This window comes from Homo sapiens, chromosome 18, assembly GCF_000001405.40.
Source record: "Homo sapiens chromosome 18, GRCh38.p14 Primary Assembly".
Classification (NCBI taxonomy): Eukaryota; Metazoa; Chordata; class Mammalia; order Primates; family Hominidae; genus Homo; species Homo sapiens.
Window position 1 is genome coordinate 12675339 of NC_000018.10, and position 23109 is coordinate 12698447.

General features: G+C 40.4%; 2 protein-coding genes across 9 annotated transcripts in view; one reads left to right on the forward strand and one right to left on the reverse strand.

Moving 5' to 3' along the window:
• The window catches only part of PSMG2 (proteasome assembly chaperone 2), a 67003-nt gene that overhangs the window by 16601 nt on the left and 27293 nt on the right, over positions 1-23109 (forward strand). The gene's annotated exons all lie outside the window — the stretch shown is intronic.
• Positions 1-23109, reverse strand: part of CEP76 (centrosomal protein 76) — a 40822-nt gene that overhangs the window by 13383 nt on the left and 4330 nt on the right. For 6 of the 8 annotated variants that reach the window (NR_073537.1, XM_005258149.6, XM_017025981.2 and 3 more), the window contains 6 exons: positions 21885-22070; positions 19916-20013; positions 16021-16149; positions 10924-11112; positions 5324-5490; positions 2771-3104 (listed from right to left, as the gene is read on the reverse strand). Coding sequence is in view for 7 of the 8 variants with exons in the window: in XM_005258149.6 (XP_005258206.1) it covers positions 2771-3104; positions 5324-5490; positions 10924-11112; positions 16021-16149; positions 19916-20013; positions 21885-22070 (1103 nt within the window). In the remaining variant the exon portion in view is untranslated. The remainder of the gene's footprint in view (positions 1-2770; positions 3105-5323; positions 5491-10923; positions 11113-16020; positions 16150-19915; positions 20014-21884; positions 22071-23109) is intronic. The other 2 variants (XM_047437808.1, XM_017025983.3) reach the window with 1 other exon arrangement.

Below are 23109 nucleotides of genomic sequence, written 5' to 3' on the forward strand. Positions count from 1 at the left end.
TGAGCCGAGATCGTGCCACTGCACTCCAGCCTGGGCAACAGAGCGAGACTCTGTCTCAAAAAAAATAAATAAATAAAATAAATAAAAAAGAGTTTAGTAAGAATGAATCTGTTTACTAAAGACTGACTCTTCCTACCATAAACTCAACTACAGAGGTGAGAAAAGTCAACAAATTAATTCTATGTGATTAAACAAATATTTACTGAACATGTACTCTATAAAACTTATATACTGTAAGAGATAAAAAGATGAAGACATTTTATAGGCCCTTAGGGAGCTTAAAACATATTTCTATGGAATGTTAAAAACAACATGATTCCATTTATTTTTTATTTTTTTAAATTTTTTGAGACAGAGTCTTACTCTGTTGCCCAGGCTGGAATGCAGTGGCGCGATCTCGGCTCACTGCAACCTCTGCCTCCCAGGTTCAAGCGATTCTCCTGCCTCAGACTCCTGAGTAGCTGGGACTACAGACACCTGCCACCATGCCCGGCTAATTTTTGTATTTTTAGTAGAGACGGGCTTTCACCATGTTGGCCAGGCTGGTCTCAAACTCCTGACCTCAAGTGATCCACCCACCTCGGCCTCCCAAAGTGCTGGGATTACAGGCATAAGCCACCGTGCCCAGCCCATGATTCCATTTATAACACCAAAAGACCTATTGATATCTGGACACATGAAGTTAAAAATAATAATATTACAAATACAAAAAATTCTCAAAATTCTAGATATTTTGATTATCATAATGGATCTTTGGTATTTCCTCATTTTATATTCAAGGTTTTAACTCATCACAAATGGTCTCAAAGATCCACGATTAACAATGCTTTTCCTGCGGCAAAATGTGAACTTTTGCTGATTTACAGGCACCTTAACTTAAATAGTGATCAACACTGGCATCTATCACAGCTTTGTTTTCTTTTTCTGTAAACAGTAATTCCTTTTTTTTTTTTTTTTTTTTTTGAGACAGGGTCTTACTCTGTCACCCAGGCTGGAGTGCAGTGGCACAATCTCGGCTCACTGCAACCTCTGCCTCCCCGGCTCCTTTCACCTCAGCCTCCGAGTATCTGGGACTACAGGCATGCACCACCACACCCGGCTAATTTTTGTACTTTTTGTAGAGATAGGGTCTCACCACGTTGCCCAGGCTGGTCTTGAACTCCTGAGCTCAAGCAATCCACCCATCTCAGCCTCCCAAACTGCTGGGATTACAGGCGTGAGACACTGTGCCTGGCCAAAAGTAATTTTTATAAGATATTGCTTTTATTTGTAAGCAGAACCTAAGAAAAGAAAGCTAAAGCCAATACAAGTGATGGAAGGAAAGAAAAAGTAATAAGGGGCATTCATTTCCAGCAATATAATGGACCAGAGGTCCCCTGACCAACTTTTGCTGAAAACATATTACAAATGCCAGGTTTTCCAAAATGTATGTTTAAATGCTTTGATAAGTTGACAAGTGAATAAGAAATATTTAGAGGCCAAAGCTAAGAGTAACTGGGAACCCAGAGAACATGTTTGATAAATCAGTTTGCCTTTGATAGCCCCAAAGAACACAGAAAACAGGGCTCACCCAAGGTGAGGAGTGGAACAGGGAACCCTAAAAGGTGAATCAGAAATATTTTGTAGGCATTTTGGATTCTAGTCCTTTGTTGGTGATATGTGTTACAAACAACTTTTCCCACCCCACAGCTTCAATCTCTTAATGTCTTCTCTTGATGAGCTTAAGTCTTTAAGATACATTAATCTTTTCCTTTATGACTAATACTTTTTATGTCTTCTTAAAAGCACTTTACAAAGGAAATCTACATGCTATTTGACAAGAGGCTTGATCTGGCTGGGCGCAGTGGCTCACAACTGTAATCCCAGCACTTTGGGAGGCTGAGGCAGGTAGATCACTTCGAGATCAGCCTGGCCAACATGGTGAAACCCTATCTCTACAAAAAATACAAAAACTGGCAGCGTGGTAGCACATGTCTATAATCCCAGTTATTCAGGAGGCTGAGGCAGGAGAATTGCTTAAACCTGGGAGGTAGAGGTTGCAGTGAACCAAGATCACGCCACTGTGCCAAGATCACGCCACTGCGCTCCAGCCTGGGTGACAGAGCGAGAGATTCCATCTCAAAAAAAAAAAAAAAAAAAAAAAAAAGAGGTTTGATCTCAAAAGTAATCAGGGAAATGCAAATTAAAGCCAGACGTCTACCCAGTTGAGTACAACATGAAAACAAACAGAAACCAACCTGGGGAGAAAAATGAATATGAAAAAAGTATAACCCAGTATACATATTTTTTCTTTAAAAAATAATAGAGATGATGTTTCACCATATTCCCCAGGCTGGTCTTGAACTCCTGGGCTCAAGCGATCCACCCACCTCAGCCTCCCAAAGTGCTGGGGTTATAGGCATGAGCCATCAAGCCCAGCCTAACCCAGGATTTTTTAAGGGGCAAATATGTGAATAAGCATTTCACAAAGACAAAATCCAAATAGTGGTATTCAGCAAAAATCTTGACTCTAAGGGATGTGAACAAGTTCACCATTCTTCATTTCTAGGAGGAAGTAATTCATTCTATAAGTATTAATTAATTTGAAGATTTTTGAGTCTCAGAACTTGAACTCTCATGACTTTCAAAATTATAAGCTTCATAATAGTAGGGACTGTAGTTGTTTTGTTCAGGGCTAGAATAGTGACTGGCACTATCACACACACCAAAAAACAGTTAAATACATAAATGAAAAGAAGTATGAAACTACAACTATTTCAGTGTGAATTACCTTCCTGTGTTCTGACACCAGGAGCCTCAGCTGCATTTCAATTTCATTACTTGTTACTGACGCGTCAATTGTGGATGCACACAGAGGTGGAAAGGGAGGAAGGGATGTTGTAGCTCCAGGAGCACACACAGATTTAATTGCTTCCTCACTCATGGGTTTCCATTTGGATTCATCGTTCAAATCAAATACACAGGTTTCTACTGCATCAGAGGGTTGACAATTTCCCAGGAACATCTGATGGTTGAAAACACAACCAATTGTTCGATATGGGTACAGTGGTTTGGGCTGTTCAGCAACTGGAGGTTCATCAGGATTGGTAGGTTTATGGATGTACCTAAAAAAATTAAATAATTTTATATATGAGAACTTAAAAATTAAAAAGGCAGCATCTTACTGAGAAAATTATTCTAACACTTAAGGCCATAACTACTTCTCAGAACTACAGTTTAATACTTGTTTTTCTTTTTTATATTTCCACAATTTGATTACTCTGTATTAATTGTATGGTACGTCTTTACAATATTGAAACCAACTCTGTTAACAACAGAATACATTCTATGTATACTGTTAAGATCAAAGGCCGGATGCGGTAGTCCCAGCACTTTGGGAGGCCGAGGCAGGGGGATCACCTGAGGTCAAGAGTTCGAGACTAACCTGACCAACATGGTGAAACCCCGTCTCTGCTAAAAATACAAAAATTAGCTGGGCATGGGAGCACGTGCCTGTAGTCCCAGCTACTCGGGAGGCTAAGCCAGGAGAATTGCTTGAACCCGGGAGGCGGAGGCTGCAGTGAGCCGTCCAGCCTGAGCAACAAGGGCGAAACTCCATCTCCAAGAAAAAAAAATAAAAATAAAAAAAGTTTGCCTCAGATAACATAATTAAAATAATTTGGTTATGCATTTTTAGGCACAACTAACCAAAACATTATTAGGCATGATTATCAACCAGGGAGAAAGAGGACTCGGGAATGAAAAGAGGGCCCAGGGCTGGGCCTCTAGAACACACACATTTAAAGACAAGATGAAGGAAAAACTAAGAACAGCCAGAGAGGAATAATAAATATTGAAAGACAATGATAAAAAAGAAGCTAAGGAAAGAGAATGTTCCATGAAGAAAGAAGTGAGACAGCCAGGTGGAAAGGGGTCCCCAGAGAAACTCCAACCAGCCTGTGCACTGGGAGGAGTGCACACTGGGGAGAAGCCACAGAAGTTCGAGCAATTTGCAGTGGGGAGGAGCTTGGCCCCTCCTCTTCCTGAGTGGAAGCTGGAATTCAATCTGCGAGGCAGGAAGCACACTAGCAGGCAGGAAGCACACTAGCAGGCACGAAGCACACTAGCAGGCACTCTGGCTTTGTGGAGCGTCCGTTTCCCAGTGTTTTTCCTTTTTGTTCAATAAATTCCATTTTTCTCCCCCTTCAAATTGCCTGCGAGCCTAATTTTTCGTGGCCATGTGACAAGGACTCAGCTCTTAGCTGAACTAAGGAAGAAGTCCTACAACAGAAGTACTCAGCTGTTTCAAAATCTAATGACAGGCTAAAGTACTTTAAAAAATGTGTCCAGTGGATTTGCCAACGTGGAGATGGTAACCACATCAAATTTTAAAAAGAAATCATCATTTACAACTTGAACTTATTTTCAGACTTAGGTATGATCATCAGAAAAAAACATATGCCAGCCAGGTGTGGTGGCTCATGCCTATAATCTCAGCACTTTGGAAGGCCGTGGCAGGTAGACTGCTTGAGCCCAGGAGTTCAAGACCAGCCTAGACAACACAGCAAAAGCTCATCCCTACAAAAAAATTAGCTAGGCATGGCTGTGCACACCTGCAGTCCCAGCTACGCAAGAGGCTGAGGTAGGAGGACCACCAGAACCCAGGAGGGGGAGGCTGCAGTGGGCTGTGACTGTGCCACTGCACTCCAGCCTGAGCAACAGAATGAGACACTGCAAAAAAAAAAAAAGAGAAAACTGAAAAAAAAATATGCTAATCATACAAAACTAGTAAACATAATTTACTGTTTACCAACATCATGTTGGTAAAGAATATTTGAGGTAAAAGTTTTCTTAGAGTTCATTTACTTGGCTGCCATAATTGAAGTACTTTTTTACATAATCACTGAAAAGGCTCTAACTAAAATCATCAACACGTACCTTCAAGTACCATCAATATGGACAAAAAACCCTTATAATTTAAAATACTTATAACTTAAGCCGGACACAGTGGCTCACGCCTGTAATCCCAGCACTTTGGGAGGCTGAGGTAGGTGGATCACCTAAGGTCAGGAGTTCGAGACCAGCCTGGCTAACATGGTGAAAACTTGTCTCTACTAAAAATACAAAAATCAGCCAGGTGCGGTGGCACATGCCTGTAATCCCAGCTACTTGGGAGGCTGAGACAGGAGAATCGGCTTGAACCTGGGAGGTGGAGGTTGCAGTGAGCTGAGATTGTGCCAGTGCACTCCAGCCTGGGCGACAGAGCGAGACTCCATCTCAAAAAAAAAAAAAAAAAAAAACTTATAACTTCATTTTAATATCCTTATAAACTTAGTAAACTAACCTGTGTCCTGTTAAACTCTCCCAAAAAGTGATGGCCCCATCAGTTCCACAAGTCATAACCCATGCATGAGGTACTCCTTTTGCCTTGGTCCCAACACAAACAAAGGCTTCTAATCCATATCCAAGAAGAAGGCTGCACAGAAGGTTAGCGTGATCTTCACAGTCACCCTGGAAGATAAATTAAAATGAAGTATTCATTCTTCCATATTATTTCCTCATTACATACTTAAATACTAAATTATAATAAAAATTTATTGGCTGGGCACAGTGGCTCACGCCTGTAATCCCAACACTTTGGGAGGCCAAGGCGGGTGGATCACATGACGTCAGGAGTTCAAGACCAGCCTGGCCAACATAAGGAAACTCTGTCTCTACTAAAAATACAAAAATTAGCCGGGTGTGGTAGCACACACCATTAGTCCCAGCTACTCAGGAGGCGAGGCAAGAGAATCACGTGAACTTGGGAGGCGGAGGTTGCAGTGAGCTACAATCGCGCCACTGCATTCCAGCCTCAGCAACAGAGTAAGACTCTGTTTCCAAAAAAAAAAAAAAATGTTTATAAAGAACTCACACAACACAGAAAGAAAAGTAGAACATTTTTTTTTTTTTTTTTTTTTGAGACAGGGTCTTCCTCTGTCACCCAGGCTGGTGACATGATTCATAGCAGCCTTGACCTCCTGGGCTTAAGTGATTTCCCCATCTCAGCCTCCCAAGTAGCTGGGACTAAAGGTGTGCACCATGACACCTAGCTAATTTTAAAATTTTTTTTGTATAAACAGGGGTCTTACTGTGTTACCCAGGCTGCTCTTGAACTCCTGGGCTCAAGTGATCCTCCTGCCTCAGCCTCCCAAAGTGTTGGGATTACAGGCATGAGCTCCTGTGCCCAGCCTGGAATATTTTAATAGATTAATAGCTGAAGTACATGAACAAACAAGCAAACAAGTCATACAGCAAGAAATGCAAATAAATGGAAAACACTCAACCAATGACTGATAGTATCTATATGTGATAATTTCAAGAAAATACATACATAAGAAAAATGACTGGCAAGAACAACAACAAAATGCCAACAATGGTTATTACTGGGGAGGTTATATATAATTTTCCACTCTTTTTCCAGATTTTCTTTGGTTATATTACTTTCAATTTTAAAAAGTTATAAAGACCTATAAAAAAATAGAAAATATTAGCTGGGTATGGTGGTGTGTGCCTGTAATCCCAGCTACTCAGGAGGCTGAGGCAGGAGAATCGCTTGAACCTGGGAGGCAGAGATTGCAGTGAGCTGAGATCGTGCCACTGCACTCCAGCCTGGACAACAGAGTGAGACTCTGTCTCTAAAAAAAAAAAGAAAAAAAGAAAAGAAAATATCTGATACTGTGTTCTGTGAAAAAAATTACCAAGATATTAAACACTATGGTTACAATTTCGTATTTAAGTGTAGGAAGACTACACGCGAAAGCAAAAATAACTATTTGAGTTGAGTGTCCGAATGAAGAAATTTCTTTTTTTTTTCCTCTCTTTTGAGATAGGGTCTAGTTCTGACACCCAGGCTGGAGTGCAGTGGCATGATCTCAGCTCAATGCTGCCTTGACGTCCTCAGCTCACTGCAGCCTTGATGTCCCCAGCTCAAGTGATTCCCCCGCCTCAGCCTCCTGAATAGCTGGGACCACAGGCACTCATCACCAGGCCCAGCTATTTTTTGTGTTTTTGTAGAGACAAGGTTTCACCAAGTTGCCCTGGCTGGTCTCGAATTCCTGGACTCAAGCAATCCGCTTGCCTCAGCCTCCCAAAGTGCTGGGACTACAGGCATGAGCCACCTTACCTGGCCAAGAAATTTCTTTCTCCAAAAAATTGGATTTGGTGGTGCTAAAGTTTTTTAAAAAAAATTAACTGTAAGAAAACAAATAGCATTTTATAGTTCTTCAAGTGGCTTTACAAAAATGTAATAACCAATCTTTTATTTTTTAATTTACTTTTTTCTTTTTTGAGACAGAGTCTCGCTCTGTCACCCAGGCTGGAATGCAGTGGCATGACCTCGGCTCACTACAACCTCCTCCTCCCGGGTTCCAATGATTCTCAGCCTCCTGAGTAGCTAGGACTACAGGCGTGCACCACCACACCCAGCTAATTTTTGTATTTTTAGTAGAGAGAGAGTTTCATCATGTTGGCCAGGTTGGTCTTGAACTCCTGACCTCAAGTGATCCACCCACCTCGGCCTCCCAAAGTGCTGCGATTACAGGCATGAGCCACTGCGCCTGGCTTAATCAACCTTTTAGACCCAATTATTTCTGAGATTTTGTCCTAAAGAAAATTCAGAAGTAAAATAAAAATATCTGCAAAGATAGTCAGTGTGAAAGTTCATTCATGGCAACATTAAAAAATTTAAAATGAGCTTAACTTTATGGCCAGGTGTGCCAGCTTTTGCCTGTAATCTCAGCACTTTGGGAGGCTGAAGCGGGCAGATCACTTGAGGCCAGGAGTTTGAGACCACCCTGGCCAAGAAACCCCATCTCTACTAAAAATACCAAAAAAAAAAAAAAAAAAGCCAGGCATGGTGGCTCCATGCCTGTAGTCCCAGCTACTCAGGAGGCTGAGGTAGGAGAATTGCTTGAGGCTGGGAGGCGGAGGTTGCAGTGAGTCGAGATCGTGACACTGCACTCCAGCCTGGGCGACAGAGCGAGACCCCGTCCTAAACAAAAACAAAAGAAAACAACAACAACAAAACCACTGAATAAAAAAAAAAGAGCCTAACTTGGCAGTTCCTACAATAGGGAAATAGTTAAATGTATTTTGTATATTGACTCAAGGAAACTTAAAACACTCATTAAAAAACGGAAATCAGCACTTTAGGAGGCAGAGGCGGGCAGATCACCTAACGTCAGGAGTTCGAGACCAGCCTAGCCAACACAGTGAAACCCCATCTCTACTAAAAATACAAAAATGAGCTGGGGGTGGTGGCGGGCACCTGTAATCCCAGCTACTAGGGAGGCTGAGGCAGGAGAATCGCTTGAACCCAGGAGACGGAGGTTGCAGTGGGCCGAGATCATGCCATTGCACTCCAGCCTGGGCGACAAGAGGAAAACTCTGTCTCATTTAAAAAAAAAAGGAAATCAGAAAGACTGTAGCAACACATAGAAAAATGTTCATAGCATAATGCTTAATTATAAAGCAAGATACAAAAATTTATTTACAATTATAATTATGAAATAAATGATACATATACAGCAGAAAAAATATAAAAAGAAATAATAAACTAGGAATAGAATTATAGGTAAAGTTTCACCATTACTGTTGTAATGCTGTTGTTTGTACAGTAAAAAATCTAAATATATATATGATATATATCATATATATGATATCATATATATATGTATTTTTTTTTGAGACAGAGTCTTGCTCTGTCGTCCAGTTTGGAGTGCAGTGGCGCGATCTCAGCTCACTGCAACCTCCACCTCATGGGTTCAAGTGATTCTCCTTTTTTTGTGTTTTTAGTAGAGATGGGGTTTCACCGTATCAGCAAGGATGATCTCGATCTCCTGACCGTGTGATCCGCCCGCCTCAGCCTCCCAAAGTGCTGGGATTGCAGGCGTGAGCCACCACACCTGGCCCATGCCTGGGTAATTTTTATAGTTTTTTAGAGAGAGGGATTTTGCCATGTTGCCCAGGTTTGTCTGGAACTTCTGGGCTCAAGTGATTTGCCCACCTTGGCCTACCCAAGTGCTGGAATTGCGGGCATGAGCCACCATGCCTGGCCTGCTGTCACCTTTATTTATTTTTTTTGAGACAGAGTCTCGCTCTGTCACCCAGGCTAAAGATAGTTTTTTGTTTTTTTTTTTTGAGATGGAGTTTTGCTCTTATTGCCCACACTGGAGTGCGATGGCGTGATCTCGGCTCACTGCAACCTCCACCTCCCAGGTTCAAGTGATTCTCCTGCCTCAGCCTCCCAAGTAGCTGGGATTACAGGAGCCCGCCACCATGGCTGGCTAATTTTTGTATTTTTTCAGTAGAGATGGAGTTTCTCCATGTTAGCCAGGCTGTTCTAGAACTCCCGACCACAGGTGATCCACCCTCCCCGGCCTCCCAAAGTGCTGGGATTACAGGCGTGAGCCACCGCGCCTGGCCTAAAGATAGTTTTACTTGTTTGTTATCATACTATCAACATTTTTAGAACACAGATTAGGAAATATCCCATAATCTATAAAATTAGTTTACTAAAATCAAGTCATTCAAAAAGTGTAATTAAATATACATTTGTATTTAAATACAAACTAAACAAACTAAATAGCATGCAATTCAAGATTTTTTTCTATTTTAATATTTTTTCTATATTAATTTTGTACTGCCATTTTCTCTTTTTTTTTTATGGAGTTTCGCTCGTTGCCCAGGCTGGAGTGCAATGGCGCGATCTCAGCTCACCACAACCTCCGCCTCCCAGGTTCAAGCAATTCTCCTGCCTCAGCCTCCTCAGTAGCTAAGATTACAGGCACGTGCCACCACACCACGCTAATTTTGTACTTTTAGTGGAGACGGAGTTTCTCCACGTTGGTCAGACTGGTCTTGAACTCCTGACCTCAGGTGATCCACCCACCTCTGCCTCCCAAAGTGCTGGGATTACAGGCATGAGCCACCACGCCCAGCCTTATTTTCTCTTTTTTAAAGATGTATTATCTGAGCAAATTGCAACACATCAGTAGTACCAGAAAGCCATGGTCTGGTCCTGGTGCTGTTCCTAATTCATTCTGCAACTTGATTTCTGACATTTTAGTACTTGTAGGTCCCTACATCACAGAAATCACAATAAATAAGAAACTACATGAGAAAATAAAGATGCTGAGTTTTTTGTGTATTGATATTTAAATGTTATGAAAAACAGAACAAGGTTCTGACGTGGTCAAGCTGATAGCACCCCAAAGCGGTTAGTTCCAGGACCCTTGCAAAACAAAATCCGTGGATACTCAAGGCTTATATAAAATAGTATTTTTTTTTTTTTTGAGACGTGTCTTGCTCTGTCCTCAGGCTAGAGTGCAATGGTGCGATCTCAGCTCACTGCAACCTCCGCCTCCAGGGTCCAAGTGATTCTCCTGCCTCAGCCTCCTGAGTAGCTGGGATTACAGGCACACGACACCATGCCCAGATAATTTTTTGTATTTTAGTAGAGATAGGGTTTCACCATGTTGCCCAGACTGGTCTTGAACTCCTGACCTCAGGTGATCCACCTGCCTCAGCCTCCCAAAATGCTGGGATACAGGCATGAGCCACTGCGGCCAGCCAAAATGGTATAGTATTTTATATATAACCTAAGCACATCCTCCTATATACTTTAAATCACCTCTAAATTGTTTAAAAATCTCAATACAATGTAAATGCTACATAAACGTTGTTACACACCATTTTTTAATTTGTACTATTTTTTATTATTGTAATTTTTTACTTTTGTAAGTATTTTTGATCTGCAGTTGGTTGAATCTACAGATACAGAACCTGTGGGTACAGAGGGTTGACTATATGTGCATTTTTCTAAGGCATTCTTTTACAAATGGATTACAAATTCAGAGTAACTATGATATACTGCTACTTAATTCTATTATGTGTGTATAATACCTTGTTTCTACAGAGAAAGGCCAGCAGAGTGCACCACTGCTCCTGTTTACCTCCTCCTCCAATAACAGGGGCTCGTTCATAACCAAGGACATTAACAAATCTTGCTGCTTGCCTTGGAGTATCAAGAAGCCGTCCAGCTCGAAGTGGTTTAACATAGGAACAGACTGGTCTATTTATCCCATTTTCATCCTAGGGAAAAGGGGAAAAACATCTGTAATGACATATTAATCATCCCCAATTATGTTTTTTTCAAATACATTAATGTAGGATAAAATAATTCAGCATACCATTGATCGAGTGCTTACCTTGTATCCAGTATTTGGCTGCAAAGTGCTGTGTATATAATTTCCCTTAATCCTCATCTCCGTTATTTTCATTTTATAGATGAAAACTGAGGAGCTACAGCTATTATGCAACAGAGCCAGGTTCAAGCTCTGAGCTGTTTTACTCCAAAGGCTGTGGCAATAAGAACTCCTCTGAGAAATGTGTGGGTAGGTATGTAGGGGAGGGAGAGGTGCTCTAAGCTGAAGTATTTTTTCACATTACCATATAGAATTTAACAACATATAGCCAGACAGAACAAATAACTCTTCTGATTGGCTGATATAACAGAAATGATTGTAGCTTGATTCTAGTTTGTTTCCATTAGGGCCTCAAATTTAGAGATCCACAGGAAACAATAATTTGTTAACCAAGTCAATTGAAAGCAAAATTTCAAAAAACACTCTAGAAAAAGTTTTACATCCTAAATACAGGATATCTCCTGGTGTTGGTGCTGAATAACTTGTATGCATATATAGGTCTCTGATGACTGTCTACCACTGTGATTTTACAGTGAGTATTACCAAAGTCCACAATCTCTTTACCTTCATGGTTACTGATACGGCACTGTGAAAGGGCCACTTACTATTCAAGATTTGGAGATGACCTACCCTCCCTGATAGGGTTCCTCAGGACATGAGATCTAACCCAGCCAAAAGAAACACCATCTGTTTGAATTATCAGAACCACTGATGTCTTTCTCCACAACCAGAACATCTTTTTCCAATATAGTCCCATACTTTAGCAAGGAAAAAAAAACTCACTTATTTACATTTGATTATAATGAGAAAGATCATTAATTTTTATGTTGCAGAGCAACTTGGCTATAGATTCCACTCATACCTATAGTTCTCAACTATAGAAGGCATCAATTTTTTTTTTTTTTTTTTTGAGACAGAGTCTCGCTGTTGTCCAGGCTGGAGTGCAGTAGTGTGATTTCGGCTCGCTGCAACCTCCGCCCATGGGTTCAAGCGATTCTTGTGCCTCGGCCTCCTGAGTAGCTGGGATTACAGGTATGTGCCACCACACCTGGCTAATTTTTGTATTTTTGTAGAGATGGGGTTTCACGATGTTGACCAGGCTTGGTCTCAAACTCCTGACCTCAAGTGATCCGCCCACCTCGACCTCCCAAAGTGCTGGTATTACAGGTGTGAGCCACTGTGCCTGGCCTAGAGGGCACCGATTTTTAAAACAGAGGATTATTATTCTAATTTTGGGGGGATGTAGAGAACTATGGTTTTCTTTTACATGAACTTAGCATTACTAATAATCTAGTGTGGTATAAGAATACTAAGTCCTGAAATCACAAACTAAATATTAAAAGAATATCCTCAATCCTCAAGTGATTTACAACATTTTCTTAAAACCTAATGGCCTTAGGCTGGGCACGGTGGCTCACGCCTGTAATCCCAGCACTTTGGGAGGCCAAGGTGGGTGGATCACGAGGTCAGGAGATCAATTCCATCCTGGCTAACATGGTGAAACCCCATCTCCACTAAAAATACAAAAAAAATTAGCCAGGCATGTGGTCCCAGCAACTTAGGAGGCTGAGGCAGGAGAATGGCATGAATCTGGGAGGCGGAGCTTGCAGTGAGCCGAGATCGTGCCACTGCACTCCAGCCTGGGCGAGAGCGAGACTCCATCTCAAAAAAAAAAAAAAAAAAACAAAACCTAGTGGCCTTAAAGTTCAATTTCTGTAACTTATTTTAAAGTTTCTTGCACTAAAAAGTTCAAAAAGCATCATTCAATGAATTACTACTATACTATAGCAAAACCAGCTAACAAAGGGTAAAAAGAATAATGAATTTTTAAGTATAATGGCCACGGCAAATCTACAGATCTTTGGTTAGTATTGAGGTGCAGGACTGTTACTCCTATTCTTACAAATCCACTAACAGGCAAGAAAAGATGAGCACATAAGAAGTGGAAGCATTTGCCTAAGTCAATCATCAATAGTAGCATCTTAGAATGTAAGATATATCATTTTATTACAGCAATATTCTAATATTATCTAAATATATCCCCACAAGCTACTTAACTGTTTTGAAAAGTTAATATTTCAACCTCTGAATGGGCACTGTCCAGTGAGAAAATCACTAACCATTATGAGCTATTTAAATTTTAATTAAAATTTAAAATTCAATTATTTTTAGTCATAATAGCCACATTTTGAATGCTCAGTACATGGCTGGTGGCTACCATACTGGTTAGCACAGATACAGAACATTTCCATCATTGCAAAAAGTTCTTGGCCAGGTGTGGTGGCTCACGCCTATGATCCCAGCACTTTGGGAGGCCGAGGCGGGCGGGTCATGAGGTCAGGAGATCGAGACCATCCTGGCTAACACAGTGAAACCCCATCTCTACTAAAAACACAAAAAATTAGCCAGGCATGGTGGCACGTGCCTGTAGTCCCAGCTACTTGGGAGGCTGAGGCAGGAGAATCACTTGAATCTGGGAGGTGGAGGTTGCAGTGAGCCAAGATCGCACCACTGCACTCAACCCTGGGTGACTGAGACTCTGTCTCACAACAACAACAAAAAAAAGTTCTTTACTTTACTTTCAGTGCTGGATACATTAGAAATTTTTTTGGCCTGGATATGTATATTAACGTTTTGATTTATAACTATTGTTTTTATAATTAGATTGACTGTTTTACACTGTTGTTGTTTAATTTCAGAACTAGTCAAATACAGGAAGCAGCAAGAAACAGTTCTGAGGAATCTAAATTAAATCAGCATTTTATTTACTCTATGTATATGGAAAGAGGTGGCATAAACCAAAAAGGCACCAGTTGAAACTCCAATTTGACACAGACTTTGCCATGACTGAGTTGCTGTTTGGCCTTGAAAAGACTGTTCACTTCTCTAACCTTCATACTGTTTACAAAAAGAGCCAATGCCTGGCCACTTGACAATCTTATATGGTTACTATGAGACTAAATTACGTTCTATGGTTCAAATCTTAAAATGAATTCTGAGAGAGGAAGTCGTTTAAGTAATATTTCCTAAAAGAAAATCCCACTTCCTTGACTTCCTTAGTGCATTTCAACTTCTTCCTCCTCTTTGATCCTGCCATTTCTCTGATTCACTGCCTCACTCCATCCTGAGTCCTCTCTAGTTCCTAATTCCACGTGGCAATGAATAAATGCCTCAGACTATATAGACAGCAGGGAGCCAGTTTATATATATATATATGTATATTTTTTGTCGTTGTTATTGTTTTGAGACAGAGTCTCACTCTGTTGCCCAGGCTGGAGTGCAATGGCGTGATCTTCGCTCACTGCAACCTCCGCCTCCCGGGTTAAGCAATTCTCCTGCCTCAGCCTCCTGACTAACTGGGATTATAGGTGCCTGCCACCAAGCCTGGCTAATTTTTGTATTTTTAGTAGAGACAAGGTTTCGCCATGTTGGCCAGGCTGGTCTCAAACCCCTGACCTCAGAGGATCCACCTGCCTCGGCCTCCCCAAGTGCTGGGATTACAGGCGTGAGCCACCGCGCCCGGCCAGGAAGCCAGTTACATTTTGATTGGTTTCTCCTTGCCTTTGTCCTGATAATGTTGTTACCTTGCCAACCAGTCATTCAATATATAAACAACGCTATCAGAAAGTCAGAAGCCATTTCCCTTATTCCCACCTCTAGTCAACCTCTCATTCCCAAGCTCCCCATCTGGACACTAAACCACTTTTAGCCTGTTCCAAAATCTAGGGAAAGTAGGGTAAAGCTGGATGAATGTACAGGATTTGAGAAACTTAACTTAAAATAATATACTACACTATACTTATATGAAAGCATCTGTATGAGGCTGAATATATACAAAATATTTGAACTGTTCCTTAGGAGTTACAAAAAATACGTGAACCTGACCACATTTTTTGTTGTTTTTTTTTTTGAGACGGAGTCTTGCTGTGTTGCCCAGGCCGGACTGCAGTGGTGCGATCTCGGCTCACTGCAAGCTCCGCCTCCCGGGTTCACGCCATTCTCCTGCCTCAGCCTCCCGAGTAGCTGCGACTATAGGAGCCCGCCATCACGCCCGGCTAATTTTTTGTGTTTTTAGTAGAAACGGGGTTTCACCGTGTTAGCCAGGATGGTCTCGATCTCCTGACCTCTTGATCCACCCACCTCGGCCTCCCCAAGTGCTGGGATTACAGGCGTGAGCCACCGCGCCTAGCTGACCTGACCATATATTTTATATTGGTCTGTTAAAGAGAGAAAATGGGTTTAGGACTCAGGAAAAATGGAGGCAGAGATATATAGTTGAAATGCTTCAGTTAAACATTACTGGTCACTGGCTTAGAAGTCGTGGTTATATACAATTTTTTTTAAAACCCTAACAAAAAATATATATATGCCCAGAGCCCCCCCCCGTTCTGCACACAAGAGCTGGATTTACATATAACCTGCAAAGTGTCCAAATGGTTAATTATTTAGCACTAAGTATCAAGCAAATACACATTCCAAGTTAAACAAAATGGATTTTCATCTACTTTAAATCAAATATATTCAGAAAGGGTTTAAAACACAATAATTGATTCAACCTGAGAAAGGTGATTTTTCAAAAACCCACAATAACTGAAATTGAAAGTAAAATAAGACATAGATTGATCTTGCCACTCACTATGCAGTGAAAGAGAATATTACAAAATCAGCATTTTATTTTACAAATACACTTTTATTTTTTGGAATACATTTTACAAATAAATATTAAATGAAATTTACACACATAACAGTAAATCTCAAATACAGGCATAAAATTATTCTAATATAATTTACAAACCTGTGCAAAAATCTTAACCAGTCGTGAGTTGTGTGAGGGTCGAATTTGCAAATATTCTCTCCACCACTGCTTAGCATATACAAGAAATAATCGCTCTTTCTCTGCAGTTTTCTGACGTTCCAAAGCAAGCTTGAAATTGAAAAAAATATTTTTCAATTTCTATTCATTATCTTTAATTACTACAAAATATGTAGCAAATTTATCTACTTCTCTACATCATTACCACCCTAATCTGAGTCATCATCATCTTCTATAAGAGCCTCCTGACTTCCCTATTTCTACACTTACCCCTAGTACAATCCCATCTCCATACAATAATCATAAGTCACCTTTTTTTCCTCAAAGACAGAATTTTTTTTTTTTTTTTGGTTGTGGAGGATGCAGTCTTGCTCTGTCGCCCAGGCTGGAGTGCAGTGGCAAGATCTCAGCTCACTGCAACCTCTGCCTCCCATGTTCAAGCAATTCTCCTGCCTCAGCCTCCTGAGTAGCTGGGACTACAGGCACGTGCCACCACACTCAGCTAAATTTTTTTTTGTATTTTTAGTAGAGACAGGGTTTCACCACATTGGTCAAGCTAGTCTTGAACTCCTGAGCTCATGATCCGCCCGCCTTGGCCTCCCAAAGTGCTGGGATTACCGCGCCTGGCCCAGAAATTTTTAAATAGTAAATCATACAAGCCGGGCATGGTGGCTCACGCCTGTAATCACAACATTTTGGGAGGCCAAGGCAGGTGGATCATTTGAGGTCAGGGGTTCGAGACCAGCCTGGCCAACATGGTGAAACCCCATCTCAACTAAAAATACAAAAACTAGCTGGGGATGGTGGTACATGCCTGTAATCCCAGCTACTCGGGAGGCTGAGGCAGGAGAATTGCTTGAACCCGGGAGGCAGAGGTTGCAGTGAGCCGAGTTCATGCCACCGTGCTCCACCCTGGGCGATAGAGTGAGACTCTATCTCAAAAAAAAAAAAAACATACTGTCATTCTCTTGTTAAAACACTTCATTCTCCATCACATTGCAAAATACCTGCCCTGGCCTATGAACTCTGGCCCGACTATCTCATTTTCTCCTCTCTCCCCAACCCACTACGCTCTAGCCACACAGGGCTTTCGGTCCTCCATAGGGGCTTTTGTTCTAGGCTGTTCCCAGTGCTGGAAGCTCAGCCCCAATCTTTGCATGGCTGGTTACTTCCTGTTGTTCAGACTCTTTCCCTACCTTAGTCACTCGACCTATAATTAGCCACCCAATAACCACTGTATCATATCACCTGTAATAATTCTCCATAAAACACCTTCTACTATCTGATTATTTTGTTTGCTGACTTATTGTTTCTCCTGCACTAGAATCTAAACTCCTTGAGAGCAAGCTGTCTAGCTGTCTGCTGCCCTATACACAGCTACATCTCCAGTGTCTAGAACAGTGTCTAGCACATTTTGACATCTATTTAGGATCCATACATATTTCTGACTTTAATTTCTTTTAAGAGACAGGGTCTTGCTCTGTCACCCAGTCTGGAGTGCTACTGCATGATCATGGCTCACTGTAGCCTCGAATTCCTGGGCTTAAGCGATCCTCCCACCTCAGCCTCCCCAGTAGCTGGGACTACAGGAATGCACCACCATGTGCAGTTAATTTTTAAAAATTTTTGTAGAGATGAAGTCTACCTATGTTGCCCAGGCTGGTCTTGAACTCCTGGCCTGAAGTGATCCTCTTACCTTGGCCTCCCAAAGTGCTGGGATTACAGATTAATTAGCCTGGCTAAAAGTTTTAATAGTGCAATTTTAAAGAGAAAATTAGAAGCAATTTATTTATCAGATAATAGAATAAACTTATGTTTTAGTCACTAGAAATTATAAATATGACAGTGGAAATATAAGAAAATACATATAAAATAATGTTAAGTTTAAAAAGGAGAACCTGGTGGGGCACAATGGTCCATGTCTGCAATCCCAATGTTTTGGGAGGCTGAGGCAGGTGGATTGCTTGAGGCTGGGAGTCTGAGGTTTCAGTGAGCTATAATCACACCACTGCACTCAAGCCTGAGAGAGTGAGATGCTGTCTCTAAAAAAATAAAATTTAATTAAAAAAAACAAGCTACTACCCCAAAAAAGTAGAGCCCAAACATTTACTTTATATGTCACATAAATATATGAATAACATGATTAAAACTCATGTATACCACTTTGGGAGGCCGAGGCAGGCAGATCACGAGGTCAAGAGATCGAGACCATCCTGGCCAACATGGTGAAACCCTGTCTCTATTAAAAATACAAAAATTAGCTGGGCGTGGTGGCACCCACCTGTAGTCCCAGCTACTCAGGAGACTGAGGCAGGAGAATTGCTTGAACTCGGCAGGCAGACGTTGCAGTGAGCCAAGATTGCGCCACTGCACTCCAACCTGGCGACAGAGCGAGACTCTGTCTGAAAAAAACAAACAAAAAAACCCCTCACGTATACACATAATGTATATGTGTGTATACACCATTTATTTAAGAGACAGGGTCTTAGTCTGTAACCCAGGCTAGTGTGCAGTGGTACAATCACAGCTCACTGTAACCTCAAATTCCTGGGTCAAGCAATCCTCCCATTTCAGCTTCCCAAGCAGCTGGGACTACAAGTATGTACCACCATGCTTGACTAATTTTTTAAAATTTTTGTAGAGACAGGGTCTCACTATGTTGCCCAAGCTGGTCCTAAACTGCTGGACTCAAAAGTGATCCACCCACCTTAGCCTCCCACAGGGCTGGGTATTTATTTGAGTAACATCAAAGTTGGTTCTCACTATGTGGTTTCAGGTATATATACCACCCATGACACATGTCAGAAGCTAGAGATTAGAGGGAGATGAGAGTTTACAAAAGGAAGGAAAAAAAGTTTAAAGAAAACAGGGCAGGACATTGTTTGCCTGAGGGAGAAGCACTAGCGTCTAACCACAGGTCTGTAAAAGGAACAATATGACAGGCAGGGTGGAGTAAAGGGTGGTGTATGTAATCAAGGAGAACCATTCCACAAGTGCCATCCCGGCAAGTCAGCAGATAATGAGAACCTCCAAACTAAAGACTGGCAAGAACTAAACATGGATGGCAAATCCAATGTGAAGGAATGAAAAAATCTGCCGATCTTTTAAGACCCAGGAAGAAAGTAATTCATCAGAGACCTGACAGTGGAATTAGGGAAAAAAGCCTCTCCAAACACACTCTAAAAGTGGCAAGCACTTCTACCCTGAGAGAACAGAGCAGAAAAGACATAAGCAGCAAGCTTTCAATAAACGCCTGCGAAAGAACGTTAAAATCCCATCCCACTGAGGTTGCACTTTACTCTTTGATCTTCTTCAGCTTTATCCTGTAATTCTTTTTTTTTTTTTCTTTTTTTGAGATGGAGTCTTGCTCTGTTGCCCAGGCTGGAGTGCACTGGTGCGATCTGGGCTCACTGCAAGCTCCTCTTACCGGTTCACGCCATTCTCCTGCCTCAGCCTCCCGGGTAGCTGGTACTACAGGTGCCTGCCACCACGCCCGGCTATTTTTTTTTTTTGTATTTTTAGTAGAGGCGGGGTTTCACCGTGTTAGCCAGGATGGTCACGATCTCCTGACCTTGTGATCCGCCCGCCTCGGCCTCCCAAAGTGCTGGGACTACAGGCGTGAGCCACCGGCCTATCCTGTAATTCTTATGCTGTCTCAATAAATGTTCATCGTATTTCCTAAACTAGACTACAGATTCTGCTAGGAAAACAATCTTGTCTTTATTTTCTTCCTCATCCTTTTTGTGAACCTTTGAGTGCTAATCTAGAAAGTAATAAATGGTAATTTTCTAAAAATAGAGTGCTTTCTAGGATCAACAGGTAAATATACTACTATGAAAACAAACACACAAAAAAAGAGAAACTCATAAGTATTTACCTGTGTGTTCACTACTTCTTGAGATAACGTTTGATTGAGTGGTGGATACATTTCAAGTTTTATATTTAAAATTCCCACAGAAACTTTTGATTCTGTGCCTATAAACATAAATATTTTGAACTTCAGAGATTTCAATACTATATATATTTAGTCAACCAAAGTCTAACCAAAATAATTTAGGCACTTGGGTGTTTTATCACTTACATGGAATAAAGATAACATTCAACATTACCTTTAATATTCATATTAAAATGAACCAAATCAATTTTTTTAAACAAAGGTGTTTAATTATAAGGAGATTATTTTCTTAGCTTTCTGACACTCTTTTTCTTCTTTAAGTAGAGATGGGGTCTCCCTATGTTATTCAGGTTGGTCTTAAACTCCAGGGCTCAAGTGATATTCCTGCCTCAGCCTTCCAAAGTGCTTGGTGGGATTACAGGCATGAGCCACTACACCTGGCTTTTCTAACAGGTTTTAAGAAACTTTTCTGACTTAAAGGATTTGAGACTCTTAATTTTTGTCTTAATTAAATGTATAATATCAACCAGACTTACATTAAATTCAAAGTCAAAGCAACTGTTAACACCTCATTCCTTCTCCACACACACACACACACACACACACACACACACTAAAAATTAGAAAGCATTTATATTGTCACTTATAGTAACTCCCATTTGTCACTCCCCATTATCCAATTACAGGCTGAGTAGAAATTTTCAATCCATGCCTGGATTTAAAGAACTAGAAAACAAATATACTTCACATCAAAACGATTTAATGTTTCTTCAGTGAATCAGAATCTGCTTGTTTCCAGGTCACTGCTACGATTATCATGTTAGGCCTATTTTTGAAGACAAATTGGGTATTGTTTTTGAAAATAAATTTCTTACATAAAGGACACTTTTTCTATAATTTTTATTTAAAGAAAAATACATTCTTGGTATGACTTATTAAAATCTAAATTACTGGCTGGGCGCGGTGACTCACGCCAATATCCCAGCACTTTGGGAGGCCGAGGCGGGCAGATCACGAGGTCAAGAGATCGAGACCATCCCGGCCAACATGGTGAAACCCCATCTCTACTAAAAATACAAAAATTAGCTGGGTGTGGTGGTGCATGCCTGTAGTCCCAGCTACTTAGCAGGCTGAGCCAGTATAATCGCTTGAACCCAGGAGGCGGGGGTTGCAGTGAGCCGAGATTGCAGCACTGCACTCCAGCCTGGTGACAGAGCGAGACTCCATCTCAAATAATAATAATAATAATAATAATCTAAATTACTAAGGCTATGCTGTCCACTGGCAAGGTTTAACTCTGTGACTAAGTTTAAAAACCAAAGTAATTCCATTATATGTTATAGATAAAACATTGGTAGGTTTTGTTTTCTCATTTTATTAGCAAGTATGTGTTACATAGCGGGCAGTGTGCAAGATTCCAAGGAGACTATGATAAATAAGATAGGCACCAGCTCTGCCCTCAAGGACTAGTTGATACTAACACTGAGCAAATTATTTCCTCTTCCGAGTCTCACTCACCCACACTGTAAAAGGTTGGGAGAACATCTACTCTGTATTTTGCAAGAATCACTGGTACCAAAGGGGATGTATTCCAGGGTGTGATGACTGGACACACATAAGTTTGTATGTGTGTCAAGAATATTAATTTTCTTTATAGCCTTATATTTAATCAAATGAACTTGAAATTAAAACCCTCAAAATTCCTGTATTCATTTTCCAGAAAAAAACATTTCTCCTAAGACAAGGTCAGATTGACCATGAAGTGCTATACTGATATTATTCTTCAAGACATTTCTCAAGATTAGGATGCTGAGGTCCAATTGTAACTCTAACGAAATTCTATTTTACAGGTTTCCCTCTTGGATTATAAAAGCATTTTAAAGATATAAAATATATTTACAAATGAACTGTGGCTATAAAAAGGTTAACAATGATATATTAATCACCATACCTACACCCATAAGTTCCACAGTCAGACTGGTCACTCCATTTTCTGAGCCCAAAACCGATCGCCATTCCAGAAAATATGATGCTACTAAAGTCGTCTCACCAAATATGTCTGTTTTGATTAGCACCATATGAATTGGATCACTTATTGATAACATTGTTGTTGAATCAGCCATTCTAGTTCCATCACCTAGCAATATAATCCAAACGAAATTATACCACACTACATATTCAGTTAGGCCAACATAAAAGAATACTTTTATTAAACAGTAAATAATAAGCTTATATAAAACCAAAGAGAACAATTTGCTAATGTCTCAGAAAGCATGCAAAAAACTGGAAATACAAGTACAGTCCTATTTCTATCACTAACTTTTCAGAAGACTGGCAAATTGTGATGAGTTATCCAGTAACTTACAGCATATCAGTGCTTTCTGATTCATAAGATAAGTCTGTTCTTTAAAAGTACTTAACTAAAGTATATGCTACTACAATAAAAAGCCTTCAAGTATGTCAATATTAATCCCCAAACTACCTCAAGAAATCCCTTTAACCTCCAGAAATTATCACTGTATAATTGACATACAACTGAAAAATACAGCACATCGAATCTAGCAATTTATCCTATTAATTGCCTTATTAAGGTAACATCTTTCAAAGGGAAAAAAATAAATTTTAGTAATGTTTCAGTCATCTTTAAATCTAAAATTGTGAAGACATTCTGAAACTTTGCTTAGTTTACAAATATAAAGATTTCCATACTGACAATTACAAAATACAAAATACCTTTACTGAAAGAAACATAGTGTAAAACAATTACAGGAATCAAGTAGCATAAAATTTAGTTATGAGAATTACATGCTTTATTGGAGAAATAAGAAAAAAAAGAAAAAATTAAAATGACAGTTATATGTTCACATCTAAATTTGACTTTTTATTTTATTTATATTTATTTGTAAGTATTTATAAAAATTTATTAGAAGTTTTTATAAATAATTTATAAATATTTATTCATTTATTTATTTATTTAAACAGAGTCTCACTCTGTTGCCCAGGCTGGAGTGCAATGGGGTGATCTCGGCTCATTACACGCGCCTGCCACCATGCCCGGCTAGAAATTTTGTATTTCTAGTAGAGACAGGGTTTCGACATGTTGGCTAGGCTGGTCTCAAACTCCTGACCTCAGGTGACCCACCTGCCTTGGCCTCCCAAAGTGCTGGGATTACAGG